Genomic DNA, 12,677 nt, shown 5'->3' on the forward strand with positions numbered 1-12,677 from the left:
GTAAGTATTCAGCAAACATTATTTTACCTTTTTCTTCTTTCAGAGCTGCCTCCTGCCCCTGAGGGGAGGAGTCCATCCTCTTCTATAGGATACACCTGTTGGCTTGTTTGTCCTTCCTTCCCCTTTCTGGGAATTGTTCTCCATCAACATGTTTATGGGGACAGCCATTTCTATACAATGTGACCTGTATTGATCTATTTTGTGTTGCTATAAATAAATACCTGAGGCTGGTAATTTTTAAAGAAGAGAGGTTAATTTGGCCCATAATTCTGCAGGCTGTACAAGAAGCATGGCACCAGCATCTGCTTCTGGTGAGGCCGCAGGAAGCTTCCACTCATGGTGGAAGGTGGAGGAGGAGCAGGCGTGTTATATGGCAAGAGCGAGAGCAAGAGAGAGAGCAGAAGGTGTCAGGCAACCAGCTCTCATGTGAACTAATGAGCAAGGACTCACTCATCACCAAGGGGATGGCCCCAGCCATTCCTGAGAGATCCGCCCCCTAACCCAAACACCTCCCACCAAGCCCCACCTCCAAGACTGGCGGTCAAATTTTAACATGAGACCTTCATTATCAATGTTTGTGTATCTACACATCCAAAGTAGATCATCATCTTTGGTCTTTGGGAGATACACCAGAGAAAAACAACTCCTCTGGCCTGGGAGATTTTGACTTTCTGCTTTTCATGTGTGTTTGCTTTTATCGAAGAGGGAATCTGCTACTTGCCTGATGCAACTGCATTTGGATACTGAACTGGGGCCCAAAGAGTCTCAAATCACTGCCTGGGAATGCCAATTTCTCATCATGAATTAGAAATCAATTCTAGCAGCCTCCCTGCTAAGTAAAAAAATTACATAATTCTTTCTGCACTACTGCATTAGGCTGATTTTTTTTTTCCTTTTCCTGAATGTACAGTAAATCTCTAGTGGTTTAAGCCATGGTGCCTCTGCTTAAACACAATATGAAATCGCTACCAAATTTAAATAAAAAATAAATTCTGTGTTGTGTTAGGAGTCTCTCCTGCCAAAAACTCTCACACAATTAACACACTAACAGAATGTGTTGCTAATTTCATGCCACTGGAGTCTTTTCTGCTTCAGAATATAGAAACAAAATCAGGTCAGAGCTCCAATAATAACAGGATTTTGTTAAAATATACAGCCCTGTGTTGTAGATACGTTGTAAGAATGGGTGAAAAGGGGACTCACAGTGATGCACGAAATAGCTCACTACTGCAAATAGAAGTGGGAGAACTTGTCTCCAGCTTCTTTGCAGAGAGAGAGAGGGGGAGAGAGGAGAGAGAGGGTGGAGAGAGATTAGGGGAGAGAGGTAGAGAGAGAGAGAGGAAGAGAGACTGAGAGAGAGGGAGACGGGTAGAGGGAGAGGAGAGAGAGAGGATGGGAGAAAGGGAAAGAGGAGAGAGAGAGGGAGACAAGAAGAGAGAGGGAGAAAGGAGAGAGAGGATAGAGAGAGAGAAAGAGAGAGGAGAGAGAGTTAGGAGAAAGATAGGGAGAGAGAAGAGAGGGATAGGGACAGAGAGGCAGCGAGGAGAGAGAGAAGCAAGAGACAGGGAGAGAGGAGAGAGAGAAGGAGGGAGAGAGAAAAGGAGGGACAGAGAGAGAAGGAGGTAGAGAGGGAGAAAGAAGAGGACGGAGAAAGATAAAAAGAGAGAGGAGAGAGAGGTAGAGAGAAAGAGAGAGAGGAGAGAGAGGTGGGGGGAGAGAAGTAGAGAAAGAGGGAAGAAAGAGAGGCTAGGAGAGAGACAGGGAGAAGAGAGAGGAAAGAGGGACAGAGGGAGAGAGAGAAAGAGAGAGAGAAGAGAGGCAGAGAGAGAGAGTTAGTTCAGCTCGGTCCAAGCCCAGACCCACCAGGTTCTGTGGGAAAGGGTTTCATTATCAATGTTAGTCCATCCAGACATCCGCATACTTTTACAGGGGGAGGCAAACGCCAGGCAAAGAAACTAGGGAAACACAAGCCCAATAAATCACAGCTAGGATTCTGATTCCCCTGGTTCATTCTGAGGCTTCCTCCCTCCACCTCTTAGCCTTCTTACACTGGGCCTCTTCTTTTCCATAACAAAAACAGCGATAATGAAAATATTTTGGCAGCATTGAAGGCCTTTCACATTGTGACCCTGACCTCCAAATCAATTTTCTTTATTCTTAACCTGACCTTGGCATCCATTCTCCCTGGCGTTCAATATTAGTTACAAAATCTTGAACTCCCCGAGACCTTCCCTCCTCCCCAGATAACCAAGGCAGGCCACACTGGGGAAGCTCTGACGAGGACAGAGAGAGAAGGCTTCTCGACAAAGAAAAATCATAACGAGATGAACAAGCCCGATGCCTTCTATAGGAGTCTCATTTGCACCAAATGCTATTAGCCCCATTATTTACTCAGACAACGGTGCAGGCAGCCTGGGCTCCCTGCTTGCGCGGGGCGCTGTGGAGAGCACCATGCATCACCAGCCGGCCCGGGCGCTTCCCTTAAATAGTAATATGTAAGGTAGAGCATGTTACATTTCATCCATCACCCATGGGCTCACCGAGCGCAGAGACTGGAGAAATTGCGCACATTTCTCCGTTGCTGCATTAATACTAGAAAGGGAGTGAACTGAACAGAGAAAGTGCCAATTTCAGCACACATGTTAAAAAGAGAAGCAAAGAATAGCAGAAAAAGAAAGCATCTCCCGTACTGAGATGCTGGGGTGTGGGGGAGGTTTTTAAAGGAGAAGACTGCTTTTCAGAACTCCTGTGCATTGACTATGAGAATAAGGACCCACTGAGACAAGAGTTCGGGGTCAGCATACATTTAGGAGAAGAAGTTGGCTGGCAGGGGCTATTTTTCTGCAAATTAGTTTTCTCTCAAGGGTAACGGTGGGGGAGGAGCAGAGGAAAATGAATTGGAGCCCGTTGAATAATCGCGTATTGTTCGGCCGGTTGCGGTGACCTATGAACTGATGCTCCGAGAAGTGTTTTCAGGCCTTCCTTTTATATGGGCGAGGATGGGAAGCCTCTTACAGCTGTTGACGAGTGTCCTGAAGGGGCAACGATGGGGATGGCAGTGTGGCCCCACGAACAATGGTCACAGAGCATCGGCTCCACTTGGCAAGAGAGGCACCGTCTGCTGGTCGGTACAGCTGACCGCAGGGCTGGACAGGTGGCCAGGCAGGAAGGCGAGAAGAGGCACGGTTCAAACTTTATGCTGATCACAAAGAATTGAGAAAAGGGGCAAAGTGAAGAAATACAGTGTAGCAGGACGCGATGGATCGACTTTCCTTGGGGATTAGAAGGAGCAAGAGCTCTGCAGTGATTCAAACAGTTCAGTGCAAATGGAATTCTTCTAGGATGTTTACAAAATAAAAGTGAATCAGTTCATCTAAAAGTATTTGTGCTTCATTGTTTTCAAGTCCAGATTCTGCCTGGAATGCATAGCATCGTGTTCTTCCTTCAGACATTTTATCATTCTCACTTTGGCATCAGAAAACCCTGCATCATCTAAACCAGGGCTTCTCTGTTCCCTTGAAACACCCAAATGAGATGAACTAAAAGTGCAGAGACTCTAAAGTGAAGCCGGAAGGGACCCTTCACAAGGGAGAGACTTCTTTGAAGTCTTGTACTTGTTCATCTTTTAAAAAGTACCTAAAACTGACATATTGTGCAGCAGTCTGAAATTTAACATTACAGATACCATTTTTAATTCCTTTAGCCATCTCAGTTGTAGGATTTCATTCTAAGATGCAGCTCAACCTGTAACAGGAAAAAAAAGAACAATCACCAATTTAATGCATATTTTGAGTTTAGGAGGACTCCATCTCAGATATCCAAAACTTATAATCTGAAAAAAAAATCTATGTCATAAAAGCAAGAAAATAGAGTAATTATAATCAGGGAAAATGGAAACTTCCAGAAGAAAGAACCAGTTTCATCTGTGGCTCCAGACAAACTGGGCATACCCCAGTTTGCAAAGCATTACAAAGGAGACAGCTATTGTAAAGTGATGAAAAGTAGACTTCCCTGGTTGTAACTACCTTGTCATAAAATGCCATGCCTGACTCACCCTAGGGCTGTCAGAGCACAGTGTAGTGCCAGGCATATAGCTGGTGCTCAGTAAATACTTGTTGAATTGAAAGTTGTTGATAGCGCTCTGCATTCATTTTCCCCTTTAGGTAGCCTGTGGCAGGGTGGTGAGCCTGGGATGGGGACATCTCACAGCCCAGCAGTAGGACAGGCTGTTCTTCCTGGAGGCAAAACAGGTTAGGGCAGCACATGGTCCCTTCCGTCTGAGTCTGAGTCTAAGTACACACTCACTTTTCGTCTCCGCCACAGACCAGCTGCATGATCTTGGGATCCACTTATCTGGGCCTTCCAGCCCTTCTCTAGCAGAAGGAAGCATCAAGCACCATCCTCTCAAAGGTCTATTTAAAAATTCTACAATACTGTGTATTTAGATTTATAAAGGACTTTTCTTTTTCACCAGTTGCTACCTGAGGGCTGAAGCAAGGGGCAAGATAGGGGAAGATAAATCAGCTCTGCTCTTGTCTCCCCTGTGCCTTTCCAGTTGGAAGGGCACAGAGGACCCAGTGTGGTCCCACCTGGGAGGCTGCCCACCTGGTGTCCTTTGTCCTGTTCTGGCAAGAAAAACCTCAGAACTGAAGACAGGCTGTAAAGAGTGGTGAAAAGCACTGCCAGTTAGTTACCTTATTACAAATTTACCTTAGATGAGGTAATTCACTAAGCAGGTCGCAGGGCTTCAGTGTTACACTCCTCCCACGGGCCCCCAGTAGTCAGTCTCTAGAGTTTGGCTTACTTAGTACAGGTGACCACATTCTGGTCAAAGTCAGCAGAGCCATCCTAAGTTAGTGTTCTGTGATATCGGCTCAATGTTTTGTGGTTGTTGAGACTGATTACCTGTTAAAATGACCCATATTTGAGGGTCAAATATTCAGGAGCAAGAAATGAAAAGAAGCAGATTCTGATTTCAAGATTTCAGGTTTTAAACATCAGGCCCAAATCCATACTTTCATTTTGTTCAGTAAAAAGTAAAGCTGGTGATTCTTAGAATGAAAATGCAGTGTTTTCCACTTGAAGAAATCCCAAACTTGCAAAATTAGATAAGTTAGAGAGTTACGTTTTTAATTATAAAGGGATTTTGCTTTCTACAGTGACTCACCCTATGGCTCCCGCTTCCTAGGAATTTAAAGTATTATTTACTCCCCTGCCCCCACAAAAATTCAGATGCCATTTTATATTTTATAAAATCAAACAGAAGATATTTGACTATATTTCAATATAAATAAAACATGGCATATCTCTCTTCTTGACTTAAGATCTCCTTTCTGAAGTATGGAAGTCTTGAAATTCTATCATATTTACTCACCCAAAAAACACTGAGCAGGCCCCGTTCTACGGCAGGCACAGTGCTAGTCCTGAGGGTATATCCTGGTCCTCTGAGACTTTTCTCTTTTCTTCTCCACGACTTCCATTCTCTCTGTGTCCTCCAGAGGCTGGGGCGTATTGTGGGTCTGATCTGCTGGAAGAGGGGCTAATTATATTAGGATGACAAGTCATGCCCTTCAAGACGAGCATTGAAGTTGAAGTTATGGTAAATGGTCAAAATAAACTTGCAATCAGAGGTTGAGAACTTTCTCTCATGGAGATTGGCCAAAAGCAGTGGTTCTCAAAGTGTGATTCTTGGACCAGCCACATTGACATCACTGGTGAGTTTGTGAGCAAAGCAAGTTCCGGAGCCTGACCTACTGAATCAGAATCTCTGGGAATGGTGTTTGAGAAATTGTGTTTTAACAACATTCCAGGTGATTTTTATGCACATTAAAGTATGAGAACCACTGGCTTGAAGTTAATTAGGCTTCATGTGGGCAAAGCTCTGAAAAAGTCTTCTTTCAAATCCTAATAATATTACCAACTGAGTTCTGTCAGCTGCCCAGTGATAACCCTGGTTTAATCTTCAAAATCACACAAGCATCTCCAACCAAGTTATTTATGCAAAGTTCCAACTCAGAGAGAAAAATAGCAAATTCTCAGTGATACTCAAAAGGGAAAATATTTGGACAGGTAATTTTAGGAATGGGCTATGGATCACTATGTACAATAATGAAGTTGAGCAATTAGGTTTGGAAAGCCACAGCACAGAAAATAATTAACCCACAAAGTAATCATCTTGGAAGTCCCAAAGCTAATGATTAAAATAAACCTGAAACAAATGATTGTTTAACTTTTAAGCTGTGCTTGTTTTAGCCACAGTGTACTTCAGGTGTGAGCTCCTGGGAATTCCTCCTGCCTGCCGAGATTGGCTTTAGGACGAGGGCATGTGTCCATTCCTCTGCCTCTCCTTCCCTGGGGATGGTTTCTTTGAGTATCACAGAGTAGCACTCCAGTTTGGGTCGAGGAGGTTGGCTGAGCTGCTCGACTCTGCTGGCACTGAGGGGCATCAAACCCCAGAATGCAGTCTGCAGCTGTGGTGGGCTTCAGCCATATTGAATCCTATATAACCTTGGAGGCTGGGATGCACACTTCGTTTTTATGCAGCTTGCTTTGCACTTTCATTGGCGGTTTATTATTGCAAAGCATGATGCTCCCCTCCCCCACTCGCCTCTCCACCCAAAGAAGTGAATTAATAACTAGAAAACGAGAGAGAAATGAGATCCAGAAGGGTCTGGGCTTCTGAATGTCACTGTGAGCAAACAGCGGTGGAGAGAAAAGGTTCCTTTCCATCTTTATGTGCAGTGCTGTCTGTGCATTGACTTGTTTCCTGACACATGAGCCATGGCTTGAAAGGAATTCAGGCCCCAGCAAATTTTGCATTGCGCTTCAATGTGGCCTCTGGGATTGAATAAGGGCAAATCTATTATACTGTTGCCATGGAGACCCTGGCACAACTGCTGATAAAGAGTGTCTGATGTTTGGTAGGCCTCATAGCATGGTACATACCATTTAAAGGACGGTGTGTGTGTGTGTGTGTGTGTGTGTGTGTGTGTGTGTGTGGTGTTTAGCATGCATGTGTGAGTCTGTAAGGGTGAGCATGCTTGTGGGAGTGGGTGGGGTGACTGGGGGAGGGGAGCGGAGAACAGGGTGCAGTTGGGGAGGAAGGAAGCGTGGCTGGCTTGGCATGTCATGAAGGAATGTACTGTATTTTTACAAGGAATTTGTAAATACTTTCTTGCCTCTAAAAATTAATCCTGCCCTCTAAGAATCTACATGTTAAACAGATGGGGGCAGCAGAAGATGCACAGACTCTCCCCTTGGTCTAGCAAAATTAGTCTTTAATTCATCTGAAAGAGAATTAAGCTAATACAATAAAAGTAAAAATGCGCTCTTTTGCGTCCTTTGACGAATGCTGCCTCCTTTCAACCGTCTGTCTGAGGATCAATAGTGGGTCTGTAAGGAGCGCCAGCATTTGCTAGAGCAGGCAGTGAGATGATGGATTTTAATCATTCACATGATTTTATAACCACGAAACAAAGAAGGCGGATCTGGCTTCCACATGCATAATCTCAGTTTTGCTGTTTTTGATTTTGCCAGTCCTACATGCAATTCCTGTCTGGAAGGTGCATGTCCCGTTTCCAAATTCCATTCCACACCTCCATGTTTGCTTCTCAGTGACCGATACGGGCAACTTGTGTGTTTCATTGGGGCCCTTTTCCCCATTAGCCCCAGACCTGGAGAGGGGTGGCACTGGGAAGTCCTGAGCTGAGCCTCCTGGCTGGCGTTGAGGTGAGTGGGGCATCTCAGGCGTAATCACCTACAGTAAGCAAGCTTCAGAGTGAGCGGCTCTAACAATGGGAGGCCAGGCAATCTGTGACAGTTGATAGGATTATTATTATTACAGAGCGCAAAAAGCTTCTGCTTTCTTTTCTGCTCCTTTGCAGACCTCATAAGGCCTCTCTGTGATTTCTGCATAGTTAATTTGTCAGTTTATAAATTACCACATTATGTTAACGCTGAATGCTTCAAAACACAAATATATGCACAGAGGGCTTGAATATTTGAAGTGTTTTAGTACTATGGGGAAATAATTTTGTTGTCAAGCTGTGGCAGATATAGAACTGCTAGGGGATACATGGCCATTTCATCAGGACTGTGTCGATGATGGCCTGTGAACATCCAAGGGGGAAAATCATCTTTTATCACTATTGTGTACCGTGCCGGTCCAGATGGAGGATAAAACATGCATGAGTTGCCCGCAGCTCTGAAAATAATTATACTCATTTGCCAGAAATGTAGAAAGTGCATCCAACCAAGTTACCACCCATCATAGTGACACTCTGTTTGCATACTGATGAAGTTTAAAGCCAGAGACAATGGTGTTGGTATCAATATTGGGGGGGGGGTGCTAGGCACCACCAGTGCCGTAGGATTAATAGCACCATCATTTTATATTATGCAGCATTTCACTTATGCTGCATATCAAAAGACTACTGCCTCTGAGGTTCACCTCACTGTTTAGAAGATTACAGTTTGCTTTAAGACTCCAAACATTAGCATGGCTTCTTTGCAGGTTCCATAAATGAATGCAAAAATATCTGTGTCCAATAGAATGCCTAGGATGTAATTATGGGTAAATACGTTTGGATGCCATTATAAGTGCCTGCATGTGTATATATGTGTCTGTGAGTGTGGGTGGGTACCTACATACCCACATGCACACGCATGATTTTGGAAGACTGCAATGGGATATGAGATGATAATATGCGCATGCTAAGTCCTGGTGCTGCTGCAGAGTCATTGATGAATGGGTTTTTTAAATGTAGGAAGAGAATGAATACAAGTAGGACCCAAGAGAATAATTCTTTATATTGCAATCAGCTCAGCTTATATGTACTTGCTTTAATCGTAGAAATCAGCAATAAAAAGCATAGACTTGGTTATTTAATCCTTACTGAGTAAAAGTGAACGTCTTATAATGACCCTCTAAAATATTATAAAATATTAAATTATTTTGATATGCCTCTCATTTTTAGACAACTATAAAATGATCAGTGAGGCCATTACCAGAAGATTAATAGACTCCTTTAAATTTTTGAATCCAGCAAACATACATGTATAAACCAAGAGGCACTTTTCTAATGGAACCCTGAATTCTCAAAGGTGTTCCATGGTTTGAAAATAGCCCAGTCATGATGTTGTCATGATGCTTATTTTTAAGTAATGATTTTAATTAAACCCCCTAAAAAGGGAACAATTCTATACTCCTCTTATATGGGCTGTACTCTGATGATTACACAAGTGCAGTTTCCCATTTTACTCTGGTGTCATGGGGGCAAGGATAATTTCCATCTCATCACATGAGAGAGACACTGTATTTCACTCAGCACAAGGCTCCAATGTAATCAGAGGAAGGGTTTTATACTACAAAATTATAACAAAATAACCAAAGAAAAAGTATTGTTTCAACAAAAGTGGTTCAAAGACAAGAATGTAATGCAGGAGATCATAGAATATTTTTATATGGCAACAAAAATAGATTTCTCCAACTCACTGGGGCAGACTGGACCAATAAACTCTTCCAGGGTTTTCCAGTTTGACTTCTTTAAGAATGGTTTTTGAAACACGGAAGGAACAGGGAATCCCCACAGCTTGACACTAAGTAGTTGAGAGATAGAGTGAGGCAGGCAAGCCAGGACACTGAAGGAGTTTCACACAAGTGGGTGGCAGGATGTACTCTTGGTAAATTGAGTACAGAAAGAGGCAGATTTACAGAATGATGCTTCTGCCTTCCCCTGTATTGGCAATAATGAGAATACCATTGGGATGCTGCTAAAGGCCTGAGGACAGTCCCAAAACTGTCAAGAATCAAGATTTTCAGGGAAATCCAGGTAGTGCTCATTGAGTCAAAGACTTCTGAGAAAAGTAGGTGATACATTTATTTAAAGTTCAATGAGAAATTAGGCTAACTTTATGGTTCTCAGAACTGGTATTATTGATTAATTTTACATGCCTGTAGTCTTTTACATGGTCGCAGCTGTCAAAGAAAAAAGAATGAAGAGAGAGCCAAACAGTTGCACGCATGCACACACACACACAATCACACATGGGGCTTTTCCAAGGAGTTAGAAGTGATAGGAATGAAAGTTTAGAGGGTGCTTTACTACATTGCATATACATATATATTTTTTCTTATAACAAAGGATAGATATTGCCACCTATTTTAAAGTTAAAGAAATCAAGACATGCAAAGGCGAATAACTTGCTCAAATTCACACAACTGATAAATTAGAATGATTTGAATGCATCTAACTTCTAAGCCCACACTGATTATAGCATACCCTTGTGTGTCAGCCCTTCAAGAGTCTATCAAAGATACATAAAGAGCTAAATACCATGAGTAGGTAAGTCCTTCATGCTAATGTGAGAATGAAGTGAAAAAGAAAAAAAGGACAGTATCTATCAATTAGTGATCTTGGCAATTATGGCAGTTGAATATTTGAATACTGAGTGTGCTCTGAGTGAAGAGATAGTGTCTTTTGGTGACAATACCCTTTTGGGAATAAATAAATCTGGAAATAAGTTCCCCTACATACTACAGGTCAAGATGTGAGGCACCAAAATGTCCTGCTGAATTCAAATATTCCCTTCTGTTTCTTTACCCTACTGACTATCTTCATTGTCAGAGAAAGTATTAAAAACAAAAAGGAGGTCTTCTTCTCCTCATCTTTTTGTCTTCCTGGACAATTCATTCCTAAGGGTTTTTAGATGATGAAGAGCAAGATTGGCATCTAATCCAAAAGAACGAGGAAGCTACAAAGTCAGAGTGAACATGAGAGCTGTGTGTACTGAGCCTTGTGTAAGGAAGAGCAAAGCTGCTTGACATTGGGTATCAGAGCCTAGGCAAGGTAATGCATGGTCACAAGCATGGAATTGGCCCAGCCTGGGAGTTAAAGCCCAAACAGAGTAAGGAGGATGTCCACACAGGGCAGGCCAGTGTGGCATGGCAAGTCAGAGCCTGAGCAGGATAAAGTGGGCATCCTGGTGTGCATGTGGCCCAGCAAAGGTGTCAGAGCCCCCTTAGAGTTTGGAGGTTGTCCATGCGGATAGGTGGTTGAACATGGGGTGACAGAATCCACATAGCAAGAGAATGGTAGTGGAAATTGATTGGTTATATACAGGAATATTAATCAAAGAAGTAAATCTATTAAGGATGATGCAAGCTGGATTCTTCATGGTTGGAGAAGGGAGTTACAGTGATTGAAAGGGGGAAAACTAGAACAGATTTTGTGGTGTTGGTTTGGAATCAGAGATATCAGTGTGATTCATGTTTTTAATACATATAAACAGACATAGAAATAAGTAGATATGTAACATACATTCCTTAGCTCTGTCTGTTATGAAGACCTAGGAACAGCAACAATCCAATAGTGATAAGCATATCAAGGACCCAGATCTTGGTTTCTAATTTCATCCTCCACTAAAAGGAACCAGGACTCTTTGGAGAAATGGCTGATTTCTGGGTTGAAGTGAAGAAAATACAAGATGAGCCTGGAGTATCTAATTTTGCAGAAAGGGAAACTGAGGCACAGAGAAGTTAAGTCACACATCTAAGAAAACATGGATGAGACAATTCTAAAAGAGTGAAAGGGAAAAAAATTAAAATGCAGAATGGTTCTGCACACAAATTGTTTGACAAATATCTTTAAGTTCTAACTCCTCCTTAGAAAACGGAGAGTAAAAATTAGAGAAGGTGCATCATGACTGAGGCTTACGCAAGAAAGCCAGAAACTAATCAGCAGATCAAGTGCCAAAGAAAAACTGTCAAAAAAAATGTTTAAGGTATTTATATACCACCTTTTATGATTTCCCCACTTTCACTGATTTTATTAAGAAACCAAACAACTCCCACCCCTAATCCTTTGGGATAAAGTGGACTTCCAGTGCAAACTTGATAAAGGCTGTTGCTACATGCAACAGAGTCATGAGCACCCAAGTTAATTCTGGCATGCCGTTGAAGATGTACGTGGGAATGTGAGTGTTTTCCAAGTCCTGAAACTTAACCACTGTGAAGCCTTGTCCAAATCCTTCACCACTTTATGCTTCGGTTTCTTTGTCTGTAAAGTAAGAAACTTGGACCAGAGATCTCTGAAATCCAAGTGAGTTATCACAGTTCTCTTCTGTTTTTCTCTCACTGAGGGGACTGTCTTCAGAAGCCTCAAGAAGTTCATTCAATTGTTAGTTTTAGAGTAATAGGTTCTGCCATGTTGATGAACTGTCTTCCAACCAAGATGGCTGATTAGCTAATCAGGATCCTCTAGTTTTTGAGTGGACCTCAGGCCTGGATGGCTGTCAAGTGACCACATGAAGATGATGAACAAAATGGCAAGCTGAAGATTGCAGCTCTGAATCATGAGACCAGATCCTTAAAGATAAGCCAACATAAATCACCTTTCTCAGCTCCTACTATTCTGAGATTAAAATCTTGTCTCTCCCTTTCTTTCTCCTTCTCTCTCCTTCCCCACAATTTGGAAAATGGTTAATGCCTTTATCTCATTCAGATGACAAGGAATACTATGAACACTATTGTATCTTATAGTCTATTGATCCAAAAAAGGTTTTTGTAGACATAAACTTATTAAAATTTTAAAATAATCCCAAACTTATATATTGCAGTAGAATACAAAGAACTTTTTTTCCTCCTGAACCATTTGAAATACACACTATAGTGTTTGGGG

The 12,677-nt window shown here is 42.4% G+C and overlaps 2 long non-coding RNA genes across 3 annotated transcripts in view; one reads left to right on the plus strand and one right to left on the minus strand.

The window, feature by feature from the left end:
• LINC03122 (long intergenic non-protein coding RNA 3122) overlaps positions 1 to 995 on the plus strand; it is a 93,238-nt gene extending 92,243 nt beyond the window's left edge. For both annotated transcript variants that reach the window (NR_126524.1, NR_126525.1), the window contains one exon: positions 44 to 995. This is a non-coding gene — a long non-coding RNA (long intergenic non-protein coding RNA 3122). The remainder of the gene's footprint in view (positions 1 to 43) is intronic.
• A 1,792-nt stretch (positions 996 to 2,787) lies between these two features.
• Positions 2,788 to 5,696, minus strand: LINC03123 (long intergenic non-protein coding RNA 3123). The gene is made up of 3 exons (NR_105000.1): positions 5,623 to 5,696; positions 5,375 to 5,524; positions 2,788 to 3,744 (listed from the first exon to the last, which is right to left on the minus strand). It is a non-coding gene; the product is annotated as a long intergenic non-protein coding RNA 3123 (long non-coding RNA).
• Between the last annotated feature and the right edge of the window lie 6,981 nt (positions 5,697 to 12,677).

Source organism: Homo sapiens, chromosome 5 (genome assembly GCF_000001405.40).
Source record: "Homo sapiens chromosome 5, GRCh38.p14 Primary Assembly".
Lineage (NCBI taxonomy): Eukaryota > Metazoa > Chordata > Mammalia > Primates > Hominidae > Homo > Homo sapiens.